Raw genomic sequence first — 19450 nt, forward strand, 5'->3', positions numbered from 1 at the left:
TGAGACCATCCGGGCTAACATGGTGAAACCCTGTCTCTACTAAAAATACAAAAACAAAATTAGCCGGGTGTGGTGGTGGGCACCTGTAGTTCCACCTACTAGGAAGGCTGAGGTGGGAGAATGGCGTGAACCTGGGAGGCGGAGCTTGCAGTGAGCCAAGATCGTGCCTCTGCACTCTAGCCCGGGTGACAGAGCAAGACTCTGTCTCAAAAAAAACAAAAAACAAAACAAACAAAAAACCAAAACAAAACAAAACATATAGACTAAAAGTAAAGGAATGTAAAAAGATAATCCTGCAAATGGAAACCAAAAGCAAGCAGAAACACCTATACTTATATCAGATACAGATAAAACAGACTTTAATTCAAAAAACAGTAAAAATAGACAAAAAAGACCATTATATAATGATAAAGAGATCAACTCAGCAAGAAATACAATTCTAAATATATGTGTAGCCAACAATAGAGCACTCAGATATATAAAGCAAATATTACTAAAGAGAGAGATGAAGTCCAATACAATAATAGTTGGAGACTTCAACACCCTCCTATCACCATTAGATGGATCATCTGGACGGAATATTTATAAAGAAACATTGGATTTAAACTGCACTTTATGCCAAATGGACCTAACAGACTTTTACAGAACATTTCATCCAATGGCTATAGAATACACATTCTTCTCATCAGCACATGGGACATTCTCCAGGATAGACCATATGTTAGGACATAAAACATGTCTCAACAAATTTAAAAAAACTGAAATTATATGTAGTATCTTTTTAGACCACAATGGATTAGAACTATAAATCAATAATAAGAGAAACTTTGAAAACTGTATGAATACATGGAAATTAAACTTTGAAAACTGTATGAATACATGGAAAAAAACATGCTCCAAAATGACCACTAGGTCAAGAAAGAAATTAAGAGGGAAATCAAAACATTTCTTGAAACAAGTGAAAATCAAAACACAACATATCAAAACCTATGAGATACAACAAAAGCAGTGCTAAGAGGGAAGTTTATAGCAATAAACTTCTACATCAAAAAAGTAGAAAGATGTCATATAAAAAATCTAGTGATGCACTTCAATGAACTAGGAAAGCAAGAATAAACCAAATGCAAAATTAATAGATGGAAAGAAATAACAAAGATCAGAGCAAATCTAAATGAAAGAGACTGAAAATAATTACAAAGAATCAACAAAATTAGAAGTTAGTTTTTGAAAAGATAGACAAAATAGATTGCTAGCTAGACTGACCAAGAAAAAAGGAGAAAAGACCAAAATAAAGAAAATCAGAAACAAAAAAGACACATTACAATTGATACCACAGAAATATAAAGATTATCAGAAACTATAGTGAATAACTATACACTAACAAACTGGAAAACCTAGAGGCAATGGTTAAATTCATAAACACATACAACGTCCCAAGGCTGATTGAGGAAGAAACAGAAAACCTGAACAGACCAATAAAAAGTAAAGAGATTGGATCAGTAATAAAAAGTCTTTCAACAAAGAAAAGTCCAGGTCCAGATAGCTGTATTGCTAAATTCCACCAAATTTACAAAGAAGAATTTACAGCAATTCTCCTTAAACTATTCAAAAAAAAAAATTAAGTGGAGGGAATTCTCCCTAACTCATTCTACAAGGCCAGCGTTACCTTGATATCAAAACCAGACAAGGACCCAACAACAAAAAAATACTACAGGTCAATATCCCTGATTAACATAGATACAAAAATTCTCAACAAAATGCTAGCAAGCCAAATCCAACATTACATCAAAAAGATAACATACCATGGCCAAGTGGGATTCAACCCAGGGATGCAAGGTTGGTTCAATATAAACAAATAAAAAAATGTGATACATTACATCGACAGAATGTAGAATAAAATCTATATGATCATCTCAATAGACGCAGAAAAAGCATTTAATAAAATTCAGCATCCTTTTATGATAAAAACTCTCAACAAACTAGTCATAGAGGGAACATAACTGAACATAATGAAGGGCATATATGACAGATTCATAGCTAACATCATACTAAATGGTGAAAGGCTGAAAGCCTTTCCTTTAAAAACTAGAACAAGACAAAGATGCTGACTTTACTACTCCTGTTTGACGTAGTACTGGACATTAAAGTCAGAGCAATCAGGCAAGAGACAAATAAAAGGCATCCAAATTAGAAAAGAGGATGTCAAATTGTCCCTCTTTGCAGATGGCACGATCTTATACCCAGAAAAACCTAAAGACTTCACCAAAAAAAGCCTTAGATCTGATAAATAAATTCAGTAAAGTTACAGGATACAAATTCAACATAAAAAATAGTGTCTATATATGAACGACACACTAGCTGAAAAAGAACTCAATAAGGGAATCCCATTTACAATAACTACAAAAATACCTAGGAATAAATTTAACCAAGGAGGTAAAAGACCTCTACAAGGAAAACTACAAAACACTGATTTTTAAAAATTGAAGAGGACATAAACAAATGGAAAGACAGCCCATGCTCATGGATTAGAAAAGTTAATATCATTAAAATGACCAGACTGCTCAAAGCTATCTACAGATTCAATTCAATCTCTACCAAGATAGCAATGTTGGCCAGGCATAGTGCCTCACACCTGTAATTCCAGTACTTTGGGAGGCCAAGGCAAGAGAATCGCTTGACCCCAAGAGTTTGAGACCATCCTGGAAAACATAGAGACCCCATCTCTACGAAAAATTTTAAAAATTAGTGAAGTGTGGTGGCATGGGCCTGTAGTCCCAGCTACTTGAGTGGCTGAAGTGGGAGGGTTGTTTGAGCCTGGGAGATTGAGGCAGCAGTGAGTCATAATCATGCCCCTGCACTCTAGCCTTGAAGACAGAGCAAGGCATTGTCAAAAAAAAAAAAAAAAGATACCAATGCCATTTTTCACAGAAATAAAAAAATACATACATTGGGGGAAAGGACATCCTCTTCAATAAATGGTGTGGGGAAAATTGGATATCCACATGCAGAAGATTGAAACTAGATCTCTGTCTCTCATCATATACAAAAATCAACTCAACACAGATTATAGACTTAAATATAAGATCCCAAAATATAAAACTACTTGAAGAATACATAAGGGAAGTACTTCAGGGAAATACTTCAGGACATTGGTCTAGGCAAAGATTCAATGGCTAAGACCTCAAAAGCCAGGCAACAAAAACCAAAATAGACACATGGGACTATATTAAACTAAGAAGCTTCTGTGCAGCAAAGGAAACAATCAACATAGTGAAGAGACAACCTGTTGAATGGGAGAAAATATTTGCAAATCCTTCATCTGATAATGGACTAATATCCAGAATATACAGGGAACTCAAACAGCTCAACAGTAAAACAACAACAACAACAAATAATAATGATAATTCCATTAAAAAGGGGCAAAGGACATGAATAAATATTTCTGAAGAAAAAACATACAGTGGCCAACAGACATGTGAAAAAATGCTCAACATCACTAATCATCAGGGAAATGTGCAAGTGAAAACTACAATGAGATATCATCTCACCCCAGTTAAAACTGTTATTATTAAAAAGGCAAAAAGTGATTGAAAGACACTGGTGAGAATGTAAAGAAGAGGGAACTCTTATACACTGTTTGTGGGAATGTAAATTAGTACAATCTCTATGGAAAACGGAATGCAGATTTCTCAAAAACTAAATGTAGAACTACCATATGACCCAGCAATCTCACTACTGCATATTTATCCCAAGGAAAAAAAAAAACAATATACCAAAGAGTAGAATGATAGACACCAGATTGGGAAGGGTGTGTTGGTGGGGTTGGGAGAAGATGAAGAAAGGCTGCATAATAGGTAAAAACTTACAGTTAGATAAAAGGAATAAATTCCAATCTTCAGCAGCAGGTGACTGTAGTTAACAACAATACACTGTATATTTCAAAATAGCTGGAAGAGAGGACTTGAAATGTTCCCAACACTTAGAGATGATAAATACTCAAGATGATGGATACCCCAAATGTCCTGAATACATATTCTATGCACGTACAAAATATCACATAAATATGCACAAATATTACATATCAATAAGCAAAAGTTTAAAAATTTTCTTCAAGCATAAAAACAAGCAGCAATTTTTATAATTTTTGAAGTTTTGACATTTTAAAAATGTCAAAAATAACATATCTTCTAATAAAAGCAATTTCTTAAAAGCACCTTAAAGACCTACTTATGAAAAATCTAGCTCTATTTTTCCAAAATTTTAATCAAAAATAATAAAATCAAGAAAAAAGAATTCTGGTTAAAACTATGAATTAACTTGAACATTCAACAGTCCGGGCCTCACCATTAACCTGGCAATGACATTAAGAGCAATAATATTTGGACAGCCCTTACCTTCATGAATATACATCTGTTGAGCATCTTCAAGATGTAATAACCCCAGTAAAGGTGAAGGACCTGCAAGATCATGAGCTGTAGGTTGAGGAAGATGTATGAAAAGAAAGGCTCGAGGTGATACATAGGCAAGATCAGCGTGCAATATAAAATCCTGAAACACCAAACAGTTGAGAGAATTTCATTACAACCAAAGCACCTATGAATTTTCAATAATAAAACAAATAGTTTTTCTCCTAAGCCATACATGTATTTCGTTTCTAATAAAGCCCAGAAAATTATCAAAAGAAAAGATACGATAATATTATCTTAAATATCATTACTGGCAAGCAACAAAAAAAGTACAATCTGTCTTCCTGAAGAAAAGTTAAAGAAACAGCATTTTTATTACCCAGTGTTTAAACTGGAATGTTTCTGTACCTTGGTTTCCTTTTTTCAAACAAAAGCATACACTAACCATTTTTACCTTCTGGTGATGGGGCTAGAGGATTTTGAAGAACAAATAAGATAATGCATGTTTACATGAGGTTATTATTGCCTTAAAACACAATCTCATTTATTTGGCATCAAAGGTGAATAGAGAATTCTACAAAAGTACATTTTCCAAATAAAAGAAGCTTTAACAAAGCAAAAATTCCATGAGTACTTAACACTTCTGCTTCCTAAAGTAAATTGTATGCTTTATTAGTTTCATAAACAGGCTCCTGGACACAATTTGAACTGCTCCTGATGACCTAAGATGCACAGTGTCTTCAGATATTATTGCCATATGGGCCGGGCATGGTGGCTCATGCCTGTAATACCAGCACTTTGGGAGGCCAAGGTGGACAGATCACCTGAGGTCAGGAGTTTGAGACCAGCCTGGCCAACATGGCAAAACCCCATTTGTACTAAAAATGCAAAAATTAGCTGGGTGTGGTGGCATGCACCTGTAATCCCAGCTACTGGGGAGGCTGAGGCAAAAGAATTGCTTGAACCTGGGAGGTGGAGGTTGCAGTGAGCCGAGATTGTGCCACTGCACTCCAGCCTGGGTGACAGAGCAAGATTCCGTGAAAAAAAAAAAAAAAAGATATTATTGCCATATGAAGGGCTATTTGTTTATTTCTCAAACTTATATAGCACTATGAATTTAGAGTCTTTCAATAGGTTTGTTTGTAAGTATATTAGTTATAGAAATAATTTTTTTCATGTAACATTGGGGAAACAAGAAAATTGTCCATAACACCATCACCTTAAACAAACAATATTGTAATTTTCATGCATTCTCTTCCAGTATTTTCCTATACAATTTTTTAATTTTTTTATTAACATGCAGTAAAATTTACTGTTTTTTGGTATATTGTTCAATGAATTTAATATGTCTATAGGTTTATTTAAACACCACTACAATTAGGATACAGAACAGCCTATCTTGCCAAAAAAATTCTGTGATGCTATCCCTTTATTGCCACACCCTCCTCCACACATAAACTTGGCAAACACTTTGCTCTGTATCCTTTGGTCTGTCTTCCAAGGACATAAATGGAATCATACGTTGTGTGAGCTTTTAAGGCCACCTTCTTTCACACAGCATAATGCTTTTAAGATTCATTCAGTTGTCATGGTTATCAATAGCATGCTCCTTCTTATTACTGAGTGGCACTCCACTTTATGGCTGCATCACTGTTTTTTTACCTACTGAGGAGCATTTGGGTTGTTTCCAGCTTTTGACATTTATGAATAGAACTGCTATAAATATTCATGCAGATATTTATATGTGAACAGAAGTTTTGATTTTTCAAGGGTAAGTATATAGGGGTAGAATTGTGTGCCATCTGGTAAATATATGCTTAACTTTATAATAAACTGAAAAACTATTTTCCAGAGTGGTAGCTTTACATTCCCACCAGCAAAGCATGAGAATGTCAGTTGTTCTATACCTTTGTTGGTACTTCATATTGTTCTATATTTTTGCCACTGCAGTAAACATAACATTTGTGAGATTTTATGTTCAATTACATTTAGCTTTAAATCAAAGACATTTTATGCTATTTAGACAACTTGATGTATATAGTCTTTCATAAACTGAAATTATTTCTATGAAACTATATATTTCTAAACGTGAGATTACTGTTTTAAGGTGTACATTAAAGATATTAAAATTCAAGATTGTATATTAAAAGGTACTAAAATGTTGCCAAATTATTTTCCTAAATTGTAACTATTTATAAGGCCACCAGCAATTTATGAAAGAAGAGTTTCACTGAACTCAGAACCAGTATGAAATAGTTTCAAAATTTGTTAATTTAAAAGATAAAATACTTTCAGTTTACATTATTTGCAAGGCCTTAACATTTCCCCTATGTCTGCTTAGTAGCTCTATTTCTTCTTTTGTAAGTTATCAGTTCAAGTTCTTTGTTTGAAAAACAGGGGCCAGGTGCAGTGGCTCATGCCTGTAATCCCAGCACTTTGGGAGGCTGAGGCAGGTGCATTACCTGAGGTCAGGAGTTCAAGACCAGCCTGACCAACATGGTGAAACCCCATATCTACTAAAAAATATAAAAATTAGCCAGGTGTGGTGGCAGGTATCTGTAATCCTGGCTACTTGGGATGCTGAGGGAAGAGAATTGCTTGAACCTGGGAGGCAGAGCGTGCAGTGAGCCGACATCACGCCATTGCACTCTAGCCTGGGTGACAGAGCAAGACTCCATCTCAAAAAAAAAAAAAAAGATGTAATAACTCGATTGCTTTTAAAAATTTAGGAATTACAGAAAAATATATAGAGGTTAAGGAATGAAAAATCACCTGAAGTCTCACAACTTACAGGTAACCCAGAATATTTTGTTAAACGATTTAGGATATCTCTCTCAAAACTATATTCTTTAAAGTGCTTCTATTTTGCCCCTCCTATCACCACATGCTTTTATGTAACGAGGTGATCACTACCTATGTGTGATTTTTGTACCCTACTTTTTTCATGCAATAACATGTTACAGAGAGCTTTCCACAACAATAAACAAAGCTACATATCAAGAGTTAGCAAACTTGTTTGTAAAGGAAAAGATAATAAATATTTCAGGCCTCTGGACCATTTGGTCTCTGTTGCAACTACTCAATTCAGCCATTACAGTACAAAAGCAGCCATGACAGCTAACATTACATAAACTAATTCATGTATAGAAAGTACATACATTAGTGTGTGTGTCTGTGTTCCAATAGAACTTTATCAACAAAACCAGGCAATAGGCTGAATTTGGCCTTTGAGCCATAGCCTGCCAACCCCTACTATGTATCACCATATATAATGGCTTCACAGAAATCCATTTTATAGATATATCATAATTTAACTAATCCCTTATTAATAGACATTTAAATTCTTCCCAAATGTTCATTATATTAGAAAGAATACTGTGAGAATTACTTGTAAATACATTTTTTTTTTGAGACATGGTCTCGCTCTGTCTCCCAGGCAGGAGTGCAGAGGCATGATCACAGCTTACTATAGCCTCTACCTCCCAGGCTCAAGCAATCCTCCAACCTCAGCCACCTGAGTAGCTGGGACTCCTGGTATACGGCACAATACCTGGCCAATTTTTGTATTTTGTTTTTTGTAGAGACAGGGTTTTGCCTTGTTGCACAGGCTGATCTCGAACTTCTAGGCTTAAGGGAGTTAAGCCTTCCAAAGTTCTAGGATTATAGGCATGAACCACCACGTGTGGTTCTATAAAAACATTTTGATGTAATTGTTTGATTATCCACTTAGAATAGCTAAAATCCTGAATCAAAGAGTAGACTCATTTTACAATTTGGAATATAATGTTACACTGCTTTCCAGAAAGACTATACCAATTTATATTCTTGCACCCAATATATAAGAGTATCTGCTTCCTCAGATATTGACCAATATTGTATTTTATCAGTCTCCACCTAAAATAACAGAGTACTGTTTATATTCATATTTTTATTTAATGTATAGTGACTATATATATTTATACATCTATTTATATCTCTTATTGGTTATTTTACTCGGCTACTTTTATTTATTCTTTATGAACTGCTTTTGTGGCATCTGTCCATTTTTCTATTGGAGCATTTATTTTTCCTGTTGATTCTTAAATGCTCTTTATATACTAAAGATATCAACACTATTTTTAAATTATGTTAATTAGCTTTATACAGTCCAGTATTTTCTTTCAATACTGATTTTTTTGGCAAAGTAATTAAAAAAATTTTTAAATCAAATCTGTCAATTGCTTATTTTATACTTTGCATACATGTTATGCTTTAAAGGTCCTTTTTCAGCCCCATCAATATAAAACATATTTTCCCATATTTTCTTAAAGTTCTGGCTTTACTACTTAGATACCATGTCACTTATTTGTGCATTTCCTCATCTGTAAAATGCGAGCAGAGAGTACCTACCTTATTTATTCAATAAACCATTACTGAGCACCTACTAAAGTGCTACCTGACACTTGGTAGTAGCCAGGAATATAGCAATGAATGAGAGGGACCAAAACCCCTAAACTAGTAGGGTTTACCTTCTGGTACCCACATTTATTTATAGGCTTATTAGAGGAAATGATACATGTAAAAACCTACTTGCCATTCTGGTTTGCTGGATCCTTGGGCCTTATTCTGTACTCTTTCTGCCTAGAATGTACTTTCTCTTTTCAACTGAACCCCTTTCCATCCATTAAAGCATGGGTCTCTCCACAACAAAAGTTTCCATGTAATTCTGGTCACCCCTGAATTTATTCCCTTCCTCCTGGCTCTCCCCTCCTCACTAGCAGGCAAGCTTTCCAAAGGCCGTGGCCAGGACACCTTCACCTCTGGGTCCTTCCCTTGTCTGGCTCAGGGCCTTGCCCCTTACTAGGTCCCCTATTGGGAATTTGTCAGTGTTATTATTGACAAAAGGACCTACTCAAAAATACCTTCTTTACACAGTCTACCGGAGAATGTGAATAATTAACTAAACATAAAATTGCCCATTGTGATCCATGTAAAGAAAGAAAGAAAATGACAGGGCATATGGCAGGGTTCTACATGTACAAAGGCTGTCAAGTGGGAAGCATCATGGAAAATTCGAGGAGCTAAAAGAAGACCAGTGTGGCTTAAAGGAGAGGAGTGGCAGTGAAGGGTGGTGTAAGATGAGGTGGGAGAGGTGAAGAAGCCATCTCAGGTAGGCCTTGCAAGTCAGGGTGGAGGTGTGGCCTTCATTGTGAGAGCAACAGGAAGCTTGGCTGGTTTTAGAAAGAGGAGTGACACATGTGGAACAGAATATCAGAGCTGGGTTCAAGGCTCAACACCACTAATTTCTTGGCTCGAAACCTGCATAAGTCACTGAGCCTTAGTTCCTTAGTCACTGGGTAAAACTAGCTGCCCCTCCACCACCTCCTTTGACTAGAGGCTCCCAGGAGACACACAGCCAGCTTTACAAACTGTATAGCCCTCAGAATGAAAGAAGCTGCCATTAAGATGCAAATGTCTTCTAAGAGAGCTGAGCCTCTGGGCAGAGAGGAGAGGCCAGTGGAATTGGCGCTGGAGTCTTCAAGATTTCAATCAGGGCTCCCAGGATCTTAGCAAGTTCCATAATCTCTCTGGGCTTCAGTTTCTTTTGTAAAATGAGAACACCACCCAGGTGGTTATGAGGATTCAATGAGTTGACAAATGGAAAGTGCCTATTACATAGTAAGTATTCAAAAATGATAGTTACAACTATTACTCTTACTACCACTATGGCCACTACTACTTTCCCACAACTAGCCCTCTCCTACTGCAGAGAACTTACACCAGTAACACAGTTAGAGCAACACCCCCCAAGAGGGTGCTCCTGAAATGGCTGGATTTCCTGCCAAGGGGAAGAGGAGGAGTCCACTTTGGAGAGGGTAAGCAGGATCCGAGGAATGGGGACTCTGCTGCCTGAACATTCTCTGCAAGAGGACAGAGGGGACTGGAGGCCAAAGAAGTGGAACAGGAGTCAGAGGGGAGTAGCCATTGTGGCACGGGTAACAACCAGCTATGATGCCACAGTTAAAATTTCAAGACTTCAATAAAGGATGGTCTAGTCTCTCAAGTTTCCTCTCCTTCTACGCTAAAAGAAGACTGGGAAAAAGAAAAAAAATTCCATCTGCCCTTCCCAGCTCTCTTCCTAACACACGTGCATACATGTGTGCAGGCACATGCATAGAACACACAACACTTGCACATTATCGCTAGTCACCACCTTACAGCAACTGAATGGAATTTTCCTTTTCATAAAGAATGCCGAAAGACTGCTATATTCCTAAATTCTTAGAACCACTTTGTCCCTGTCCACTGGATTTAACCTTTCCAAATGGATAAGCTACTACCATGCCCTTGGATTGCAAAACTCAGCTTTTTCTGTTTTCAGTTTTGTTTCCAATTTTAGCTCTTCCAATCACTGGAGTTGGCATGGTTTGAATAAATTGCAGTGTTGGTATAAATATTAGCTGGTTTTGCTGGACTAGCTAAGGCAACCACCAAAAAGTTGTATTTGTCTAATGAAAATTGCAAGGTAAGGGTCTTATTTTCTTGCTAATTGTGGGTATGAGCATTAAGCCCTTTTAGGATAGCAAATACTTGTTCTACAGGTGAACAATTATCTACCTCAGTGATCTCTTAAGTTTCTAAATGACTGGGTAGTTGAAGAAAACTTAATAAATATTTAGTGAAGGCAAATGATACACTCTTAACCCTACTTTCAAATTTAATTTGAAGCCTATCTGTTCTGTGTTTCAAATATCCTGTTTCTAGTCTTGATTCTTCCATAACCAGCTATGTGATCCTGGAAGTACCTTAACTCTTCATCTGAGAAATAAATGTGGTGTCTAAATGTTTCAACAATGTCAGCGACATGAAAGACAAAGAAGAGGTAAGCAACTGTTCCAGATGAATGACAGCTAAATGCAATACGTGATCTGGAGCTGGATCCCCACACAGTCAGGGGGAAAAGCAATAAAAGACATCATTGGATTGATTGACCAAATTGGAACATGGAAGGTAGATTGCTACATTTCCTGCGATTGATAACTGTATTGTGATTATGTAAGAAAATGTCCTTCTTCTTAGGCAATACACACTGAATTACTTAGGGCACAAGGAATTATTTAGTTGATGTTTACAACTTGCAAATGATTCAGAAACAAATATGTATATTCATACATGTGTGTGGTGGGGAAGTAGAGAGAGAAGGAATGACAAAGTAAATGGGGCAAAATGCTAACTGGTAAACAGTATATCTAGGGGTTCTCTGTAGTATACTAGAAATTTCTTTGTAAGCTTAAAATTATTTCTAAAATTGGGAGGCTGAGGCAGGCAGACCACAAGGTCAAGAGATCGAGACCATCCTGGCCAACATGGTGAAACCCCGTTTCTACTAAAAATACAAAAATTAGCTGGGTGTGGTGGCATGCACTTGTAGTCCCAGCAACTCAGGAGGCTGAGGCAGGAGAATCGCTTGAACCCGGGAAGCAGAGGTTGCAGTGAGCTAAGATCAGGCCACTGTACTCCAGCCTGGCAACAGAGTGAGACTCTGTCTCAGAAAAAAAAAAAAAAAAAAAAAATTCTAAATAAATGAATACATGAATAAAAGGATTGGACTACATTATAAATAAAGTTCCTTATTCTAGGATTCTATGGTTTGAAGAGGGGTGATTGTTGTAGCTGTTCTTCGTGAACTCAAAAATAGCATAAAGAAGGTACCAAGCACATGGGCAAGATAGGAGAGCTCTTCTAAGGGCCCCTGTGGAGTGAGACAGTGAACACATGTGGTAGAACAGGTAGTCTCCTTCATCAGGTGTGGAACTGGAAAGTCTAGTTCTGAGATACATATCTGCAGTGGTGGCTCAAGGGAGTGGCCCAGCTTCAACAGAGTCTTTCTTGCCTTGTACCTTCCTTTTCTTTGCTGGTTGCGCAAACGGCACTAAGCTGACCATGGTGCCATCAGAACCGATGCTCTGCCCTCTGCTTCTCATTTAGGACCAAGGCTTCAGGCCTTCAGAGGAAAAGAAGGGTCCATCATTCCCTCATCCCGGGTCCCCACTGATGAACATCAGCTAAGAGCACTGTTGGGTGCTTTCAGCTTTATCTTTCTCTGTTTTTTAAAACTCTCCTTTCTCTATTAGCCATTCCAAGTATTTACATGGTCTCATTGTCGATAATATTCCCTTTCACATGTGGACTTCCCAGGGTACCATTTTTCTACACTTGTAATAGCTGGATCATCAAACGCTGAAATCTGAAGTCCAGTGAACCAGTGGTGAGGGAGAAACCTTACAAGCATATGTATCCTTGGAAGTAAGGGAGCTAGGTATTTCAGTATTATTTGCAGTTGAAAATGTTTTGTATTTTTCTTTTTGAGACATCTGAGAAACACAGGTCAATGTGAATAGTCTTCAACCACATGAAACAGGGTTAGACACAAAGATCTCTCTACTGCCTTATATAATGCACTCCTGAAAGGCATGAGCTGGGTCTCACTCCCCTTGTACTGTTCGTAACACCCAGCTGTGATGAATTCAAGAAATGAAGCAACAAGCCACCCTGCCCCCTGCACACTCAGCTGTGACAGACACTGAACTCACAGGTTGCAAAACCAGCAAAACAGGGCACACACACCTTCCCTTCAGGTGGACCTACCTGCGTGGAACCACGATCTGCTCTTGTTATTTGTGGAGGAAAACTGTTAGTAGTCAGAGGAAGTGGTTTGCCTGGCCTTAGAAAGGTCTTTCTAGCCTAATAACTCTCTGTGAGTATTTGGATAATGCTCAAGAAGATAGATACATCCAATAATTCCAAACTAGAGAAATCATTTTTAAGAACAATAGTTGGGAATACAGTGTGAAAAACATCCACCTGCGATTTAAATGGTTTTGAACAGGAATGCAAACAGATGGAGTTACCAGGCAATTAAATTAAAACAATTTGACCAGTGTGCTTTTGAATTTCTGCCTAATGTTAATGAAACAATGCTTAGAAAACCAACGTAACTAACTCTTGCAGATGCTGACTGAGAATGGGATAAGATCCTCAGAAGTAAAAGAGTGCAGTGGCTGGACATGAAAGGGAGACTCGTTAGGAGAGTATGCAAATGTGCTTGAGGCTGGGGAAAATCAGAGAAAGGTCAAAGAAAGGGCAAGGGAAATGCACACACTCCAGCTCTCCTTCTCAAGGCTTCCAGACAAATCTCAGATGGGCACAACCCCAGTTAGCTTTCGCCCCGCCCTACCGTGTATATCACCACAGGATGTGCAACAAAAGCAGCTGGAAAGAAGAACAGAGCAACTAGATTGCAAACTGCCGCCCACAGTGCCTCTAAAATGTCTGAATGGTGAAATAGGTTAGTTAAGCCACCCTCCAATGATACCTATGATCTGCACATTGCTTGCTCCATAGTAAAATCCCAGTACATTTGGATAGAATAAAGCATCCTCGAAAAATGAATCTACAGAGTTATAAGTTTTAGACAGAGGGTTGGGGCCAAGCTAACAACAAGGAACTAAATCTTCCCCTTTGACTCCATGAAGATGATTGTGCTGGTGGCAAGTTCATGCTGGTGGGAAGACCATTTAAACTAGAGCAGTACACTGTACCTGAAAGAAGCTCCCTCTCTGATTGACATACTTCCTTCAGAGACCATTGAAAATTGATCTGCCAAACTTCCAATGGCTTGGTGAGGTTTTTCTCAACTTTCCAAACAATGAGAATCAGTCAACGTCAATACAGAAATATTTTTACCAGGAAAAGTTTTTGCTGTTGTTTTGAACTTTTTTTTTTTTTTTTGAGATGGAGTTTCACTCTTGTCACCCAGGCTGGAGTGCAATAGCAAAATCTTGGCTCACTGCAACCTCCACTTCCCAGTTTCAGGTGATTCTCCTGTCTCAGCCTCCCGAGTAGCTGGGATTACTGGCACTCGCCATCACACCCGGCTAATTTTTGTATTTTTAGTAGAGATGGGGTTTCACCATGTTGACCAGGCTGGTCTCGAACTCCTGACCTCAGGTGATCCTCCTGCCTTGGCCTCCCAAAGTGCTGGGATTACAGGCGTGAGCTACCGTGCCTGGCCTGTTTCGTTTTATTTTACAGTCAAGTCTGTTCATATTGGTTTATTTGCAACCCAACTCCTTGAAGACAGCAAATAGGAGTACTGGCTGCCCTCTCCAATGGGCAAGTGAATTCAGTATAAAGATCAAGAAAATGCCAAACACATGTAACTCAATTCTCCTTGAAAACCAGAAATGCTGGCATGAGAATGAGTTCTTAAATGTAGGGTTTTTAAAGACAACAGTGTGGGAAAATAGCGCACTACCCCGACAATCACTGAGCACCACTGTGTTGCTCAATTGTTTATGGGTAAGTAAGCTTGCTTGTTTATTTTGAGACATCATGGGATAGTCTGAGGTGAATGTTCTCCATTGCTAAATCAAAAGCCAACCATGGCAGCAATATTGCAGAAACTTCTCAGAGAGTTCCCTGGACCTAGAGCTTCCATGGTGTGTGCTTTTTAAAAACATCCGCAAATTCTTCGAAACTGCTCCCATCAAGAAATGGAGTCTAGTTTTCCTTCCCTTGAATATGAGTCAGATTTAGTGACCTGGTTCCAATAAAAAATACAAGGTTGGAAATGACGTGATGTGACTACTGAGGCTGTTTATGAAAAAAGATGCAGCATCTCTCTAGCACTCTCTTGAAATGCTCACCCTTGAAATGCAGGTGCCATGCGATGAGGAGGCCAAGGCCAACTAGAGGGGCTGTGGGTATTCCAGCGGACAGCCCCCAGCTGAAGTCCCAGCCAATAAGCACAAGCAGCATCAGCCAGCTGATTTTCTTATCTTCTTTCCTTCTTTCCTTCCTTCCTTCCTTCCTTCCTTCCTTCCTTCCTTCCTTCCTTCCTTCCTTCCTCCCTCCCTCCCTCCCTCCCTCCCTCTCTCCCTCTCTCCCTCTCTCCCTCTCTCTTTCTCTCTTTCTTTCTTTCTTTCTTGATGGAGTCTTTCTCTGTTGCCCAGGCTGGAGTGCAGTGGCACAATCTCGGCTCACTGCAACCTCCGTCTCCCAGGTTCAAGCACTTTTCCTGCCTCAGGCTCCCGAGTGGCTGGGATTATAGGCATGTGCCACCACACCCGGCTAATTTTTTTGTATTTTTAGTAGAGATGGGGTTTCACCATGTTGGGCAGGTTGGTCTCGAACTCCTGACTTCAGGTGATCCACCTGCCTCGGCCTCCCAAAGTACCGGGATATAGGCGTGAGCCACTGCACCTAGCCTGATTTTCTATATATGACTTCAGCCATGTGTTGAGGACTCTAGACACTATGTGACTGCCCAGCCGCCATATAACTGTAACCACACAAGAGACCCTAAGTGAAAATCATCTAGCCAAGGCCAATCGACTCCTAGAACCATGAGAAATAATAATAATAATAATTAATAAATGTTGTTGTCTTAAGACAGAGGTCTGCAAACTATGGCCTGTGGGTAAAATCCGGCCTGCAACCTGGGTGTATGTTTTCGTACAGCCCATGAGCTAAGTAAGTATGGCTTGGTACATTTTTAAAGGATTATAAAACAAAATAAAATGAATAAAAACTTGCAAAAAAGATCATAGGTGGCCCTCAAAGCCTAAAATATATATTCTCTGGCCTTTTAAAGAAAAAGTTTGCCCACTGCTGTCTTAAGCCACTAGACTTTTAGATGCTGTGTTATACAGCAACAGGCAATTGGAACGTGTAGTGCCTTTGGGACATGGCGAACTGAGGGGCAAATGCTGGATTGATAGTGTCATGAAAGTCACACTGAAAAGCTATGCCCAACTGTCATCAGCAAGTCAATATTATTCTATCAATAATTGCTATCATTCTCTCTCTCTCTCTCTCTCTCTCTATATATATATACACACATATATATGTATATATATATACGTCTATATATATGTGTATATATATACGTGTATATATATATATATAGATAGATAGATAGATAGATAGATAGATATAGATATAGATATAGATATATTTAAAGACAGGGTCTCACTATGTTGCCCAGGCTGATCTAGAACTCCTGGGCTTAAGTGACCCCCCCGCCAACCTCAGGCTCCTGAGTAGCTGGGACTATAGGCATGCACCACCATGCCCAGCCATTACTAAAATTTCACAAACACACTTGCTCAGTCAAAGTAAAAGTGATGGTAATGATTTATCAACCAAGGAAAATATCTGAGACATTTATCTTAGATTTGATTCTAGTTGAACTTCAAATTCTGAGATACTCATTAATATGTTTAATTATAGTAGGTAGTATTTACTGATTCTTTACTGAGTACCAGACATTGTTCCAAACTATATAAACTAGTTAAGCCTCATGCCAACCCTTATTTCCATTTTACATATGAGAAAACTGAGGCACAGAGAGGTGGTATAACCTGTTCAAGATCACAAAGGTCGTAAGTGTGGAGTCAGGATTTAAATCCAGGATGGACTCTCACATGTAGCAACTTAACCACTACACTCTGTTGTTCCTCTCCAGAAAATGCCGAATACACATGGTCTAAAGAATGCAGCTGGCTTCCAGGAAAGGGCATTGACCTCTCTGGCTGGATTTCCCTGGATGCCAGCCAAGGGTGCTGTCTATACACTTAAGAATGAGGCCTGGAACTTGAGTCTCCATCCATTTCCCCTGCATCTAGGCTCTTCAACAGCACTAAGTCTTCTGTTTGGAGGATCCCAAGTTCCCAGACTAGCCCCAAATTATGGTTGGTTAAAAGCTGTTCCTTCCAAACCATCTAAGTCTTCCCCACATGTTACTCTGGTTTCTGTCAATCAACACATGGAACATTATGCTTCCCAAGGAAATGATTGTCATGGGAGATGTAATATATGCTTTTCATTGCTGGTCTGTGGCTAAACAAAATCAACAGACTGATCGAGAGCCAATCATATCGAAAGGATACTCAAACCATAATTAGAACCAGTGGTCATAGAGAATGAAATAAACAAGTATCAGTTTTCCTTATCTGGGAAGTGGAAGTGATAATACTCATCCTTATGAGTTATTGTGTAGACTAGAGCCAAGATATGGGAAGGACCTAATCCAGTGTCTGGCATTCAAGTAATGGCTATAATTATTGTAACACAGAACATACCTCTCTTTTAGAGAACTGGTGATTGGACAGTGACTTTTCATTGAGTGACTAGAAAAGCTGTTAATCACAAAGAAAGGTCTACATCCATGAAACAAGACAGAGTAAGAGCTGCTGCTTGCCCGTCAGGTCACACATTTTCCATCTCCCGTTGTAATAAGCCTTTTCCACACCACAGAGTGTTGTTTTAATTATTTATAAAAATGGCTCCATCACATTCTTTTCTCCAACTGCACTTGACACAAATAACTGGAGACCCACGTATGGAAAGGGCAATGCCCTGAGGGTAACCATGCACTGAGGCCACCTCTGCACACTGACCAAAGGCAGGGCACATCACCGGTCTACTCACCAGAAAGGAAAAACAATGAGGCGGCTGATGAAAAATATGGTGGAGAAGATGAAAAACAGGGTGTTACAGGTCTGCGTCCATCCAGCATAAGAAAACATCTTAGCAGACTGCAAAAAAGAAAGAAACTGCAGATAAAGTGACAATAGCCTACATTTTTAAAGTTAAATTTATAAATGAAATGATATGAGGTCTGGGATTTGCTTCAAAACAATCTGGGTGGAAAGTAGGGGGTACAGGTGGGGCAATAGATAAAACAAGACTGGCCATATTGATAACTGCTAAAGCTGATGGGTCCATTATATGATTCCCTTTATCTTGCCATATGTTTGACATTTTGCATAATATAATGTTTTTTAGAAATATATTTAAATGCCTGTAATACCACTCGTGTCTTTTGAAAACACTTTAAGTTAGCATAATCAATTTTGGCATGCACTTCATGTGGGCATTTATTTCATATCTCCATTTAACTGGGAGGAGAACTGGACTGAAGAAAGGCTGGGACAAGTGGGAAATCCTGAGCTGGGCTGGGAATGCTGCAGTCAAGGAGGCTATTTCAAGGCAGATGAGGGAAGAGGCAAAGTTGGGAGGCAGCTCTCGGGGTCCTGAACTGGTTGAAATAAAGTTTCAAGCATTTGATCTTTCCTAATTCTTTTATGCTAGTCTATACTGCTCATATTATCTGTGTTGAATAGAAAGAACTGCAGAAAGGGTTGCTGAGTGTGGTAGAAGACAGTTAATTGATAAGCGCTCTCTAGTGCATTATCCAGCAGTGTCCAGGGCTGAAGAGGGAAGTTTCTGGTGGGAATAGGGAGTGGGAGTCTGGGAGCAGGAGGTGGGAGGAGTTGCTGGGGCACAGATCACTCTTCTAGGGAACGTGGCTTAGACTTGGTCAGTTTCAGAACCAACTTCATCCCAGAGGCTCAAGGCCCTTCCAGAGCAAGAGAGGCAACACATTTACATTCCAGAAAGGGTTCACGTGGCATCTTTCATATTTTGCCATACTACCAAGGGGTGAGAATATGGCCTGACTGTGGGGTTGGCAGAGGGCCCCCAGAGAACAGCTTCAGTTGCTGACATAGAGAGGTTGGTGTGCCTGGTGGGTGGGAGACGGGTGTGGAGAGAAACGCCCAAATTCAGAGTGACTGTAGTGGAGTGGGAGGCTGGTGGAAGGATCAGGGGCTAGCTGGGTGGGAAGCAAGGGATGTGCACAGGCATGGGAGAGGATCCCTGTGAGTCCATTTGTGAGGGTGAAGTAACACACTTTTGGGCAAAACATACACAGAACATATTCTGGATTGTGTAATGATGAAATGGTAGACAGCAGCCCCTTTGCTTGCTAAGTATCAGTCAGGATATTGGGTCCTGGATCCAAACTTGACCATGTGGAAACTTAGAGGATCAGGAAGATGAATGAAGAAGTCAAAGAAGGTCACTTACGAGTGAGAGTGGTAGATGTGAAGGCTGTTTTTTCTCCAAAAGAAAGAGCTAAGAAATGACCCAGTGTCTTGAGAAATATGAAAGATGAATAGGCACCATCTCAAAGAAGCCAGGTGCAAAAGTTGTGCCAT

The 19450-nt window shown here is 39.0% G+C and overlaps 1 protein-coding gene across 9 annotated transcripts in view; it reads right to left on the reverse strand.

Annotated features, from left to right (window-relative positions):
• Nucleotides 1-19450, reverse strand: part of CERS3 (ceramide synthase 3) — a 144289-nt gene that overhangs the window by 51104 nt on the left and 73735 nt on the right. For all 9 annotated transcript variants that reach the window (NM_178842.5, NM_001290343.2, XM_011521357.3 and 6 more), the window contains 2 exons: nt 17880-17986; nt 4395-4548 (listed from right to left, as the gene is read on the reverse strand). In NM_178842.5, the coding sequence (NP_849164.2) occupies nt 4395-4548; nt 17880-17986 (261 nt within the window). The remainder of the gene's footprint in view (nt 1-4394; nt 4549-17879; nt 17987-19450) is intronic.

Source organism: Homo sapiens, chromosome 15, assembly GCF_000001405.40.
Source record: "Homo sapiens chromosome 15, GRCh38.p14 Primary Assembly".
Lineage (NCBI taxonomy): Eukaryota > Metazoa > Chordata > Mammalia > Primates > Hominidae > Homo > Homo sapiens.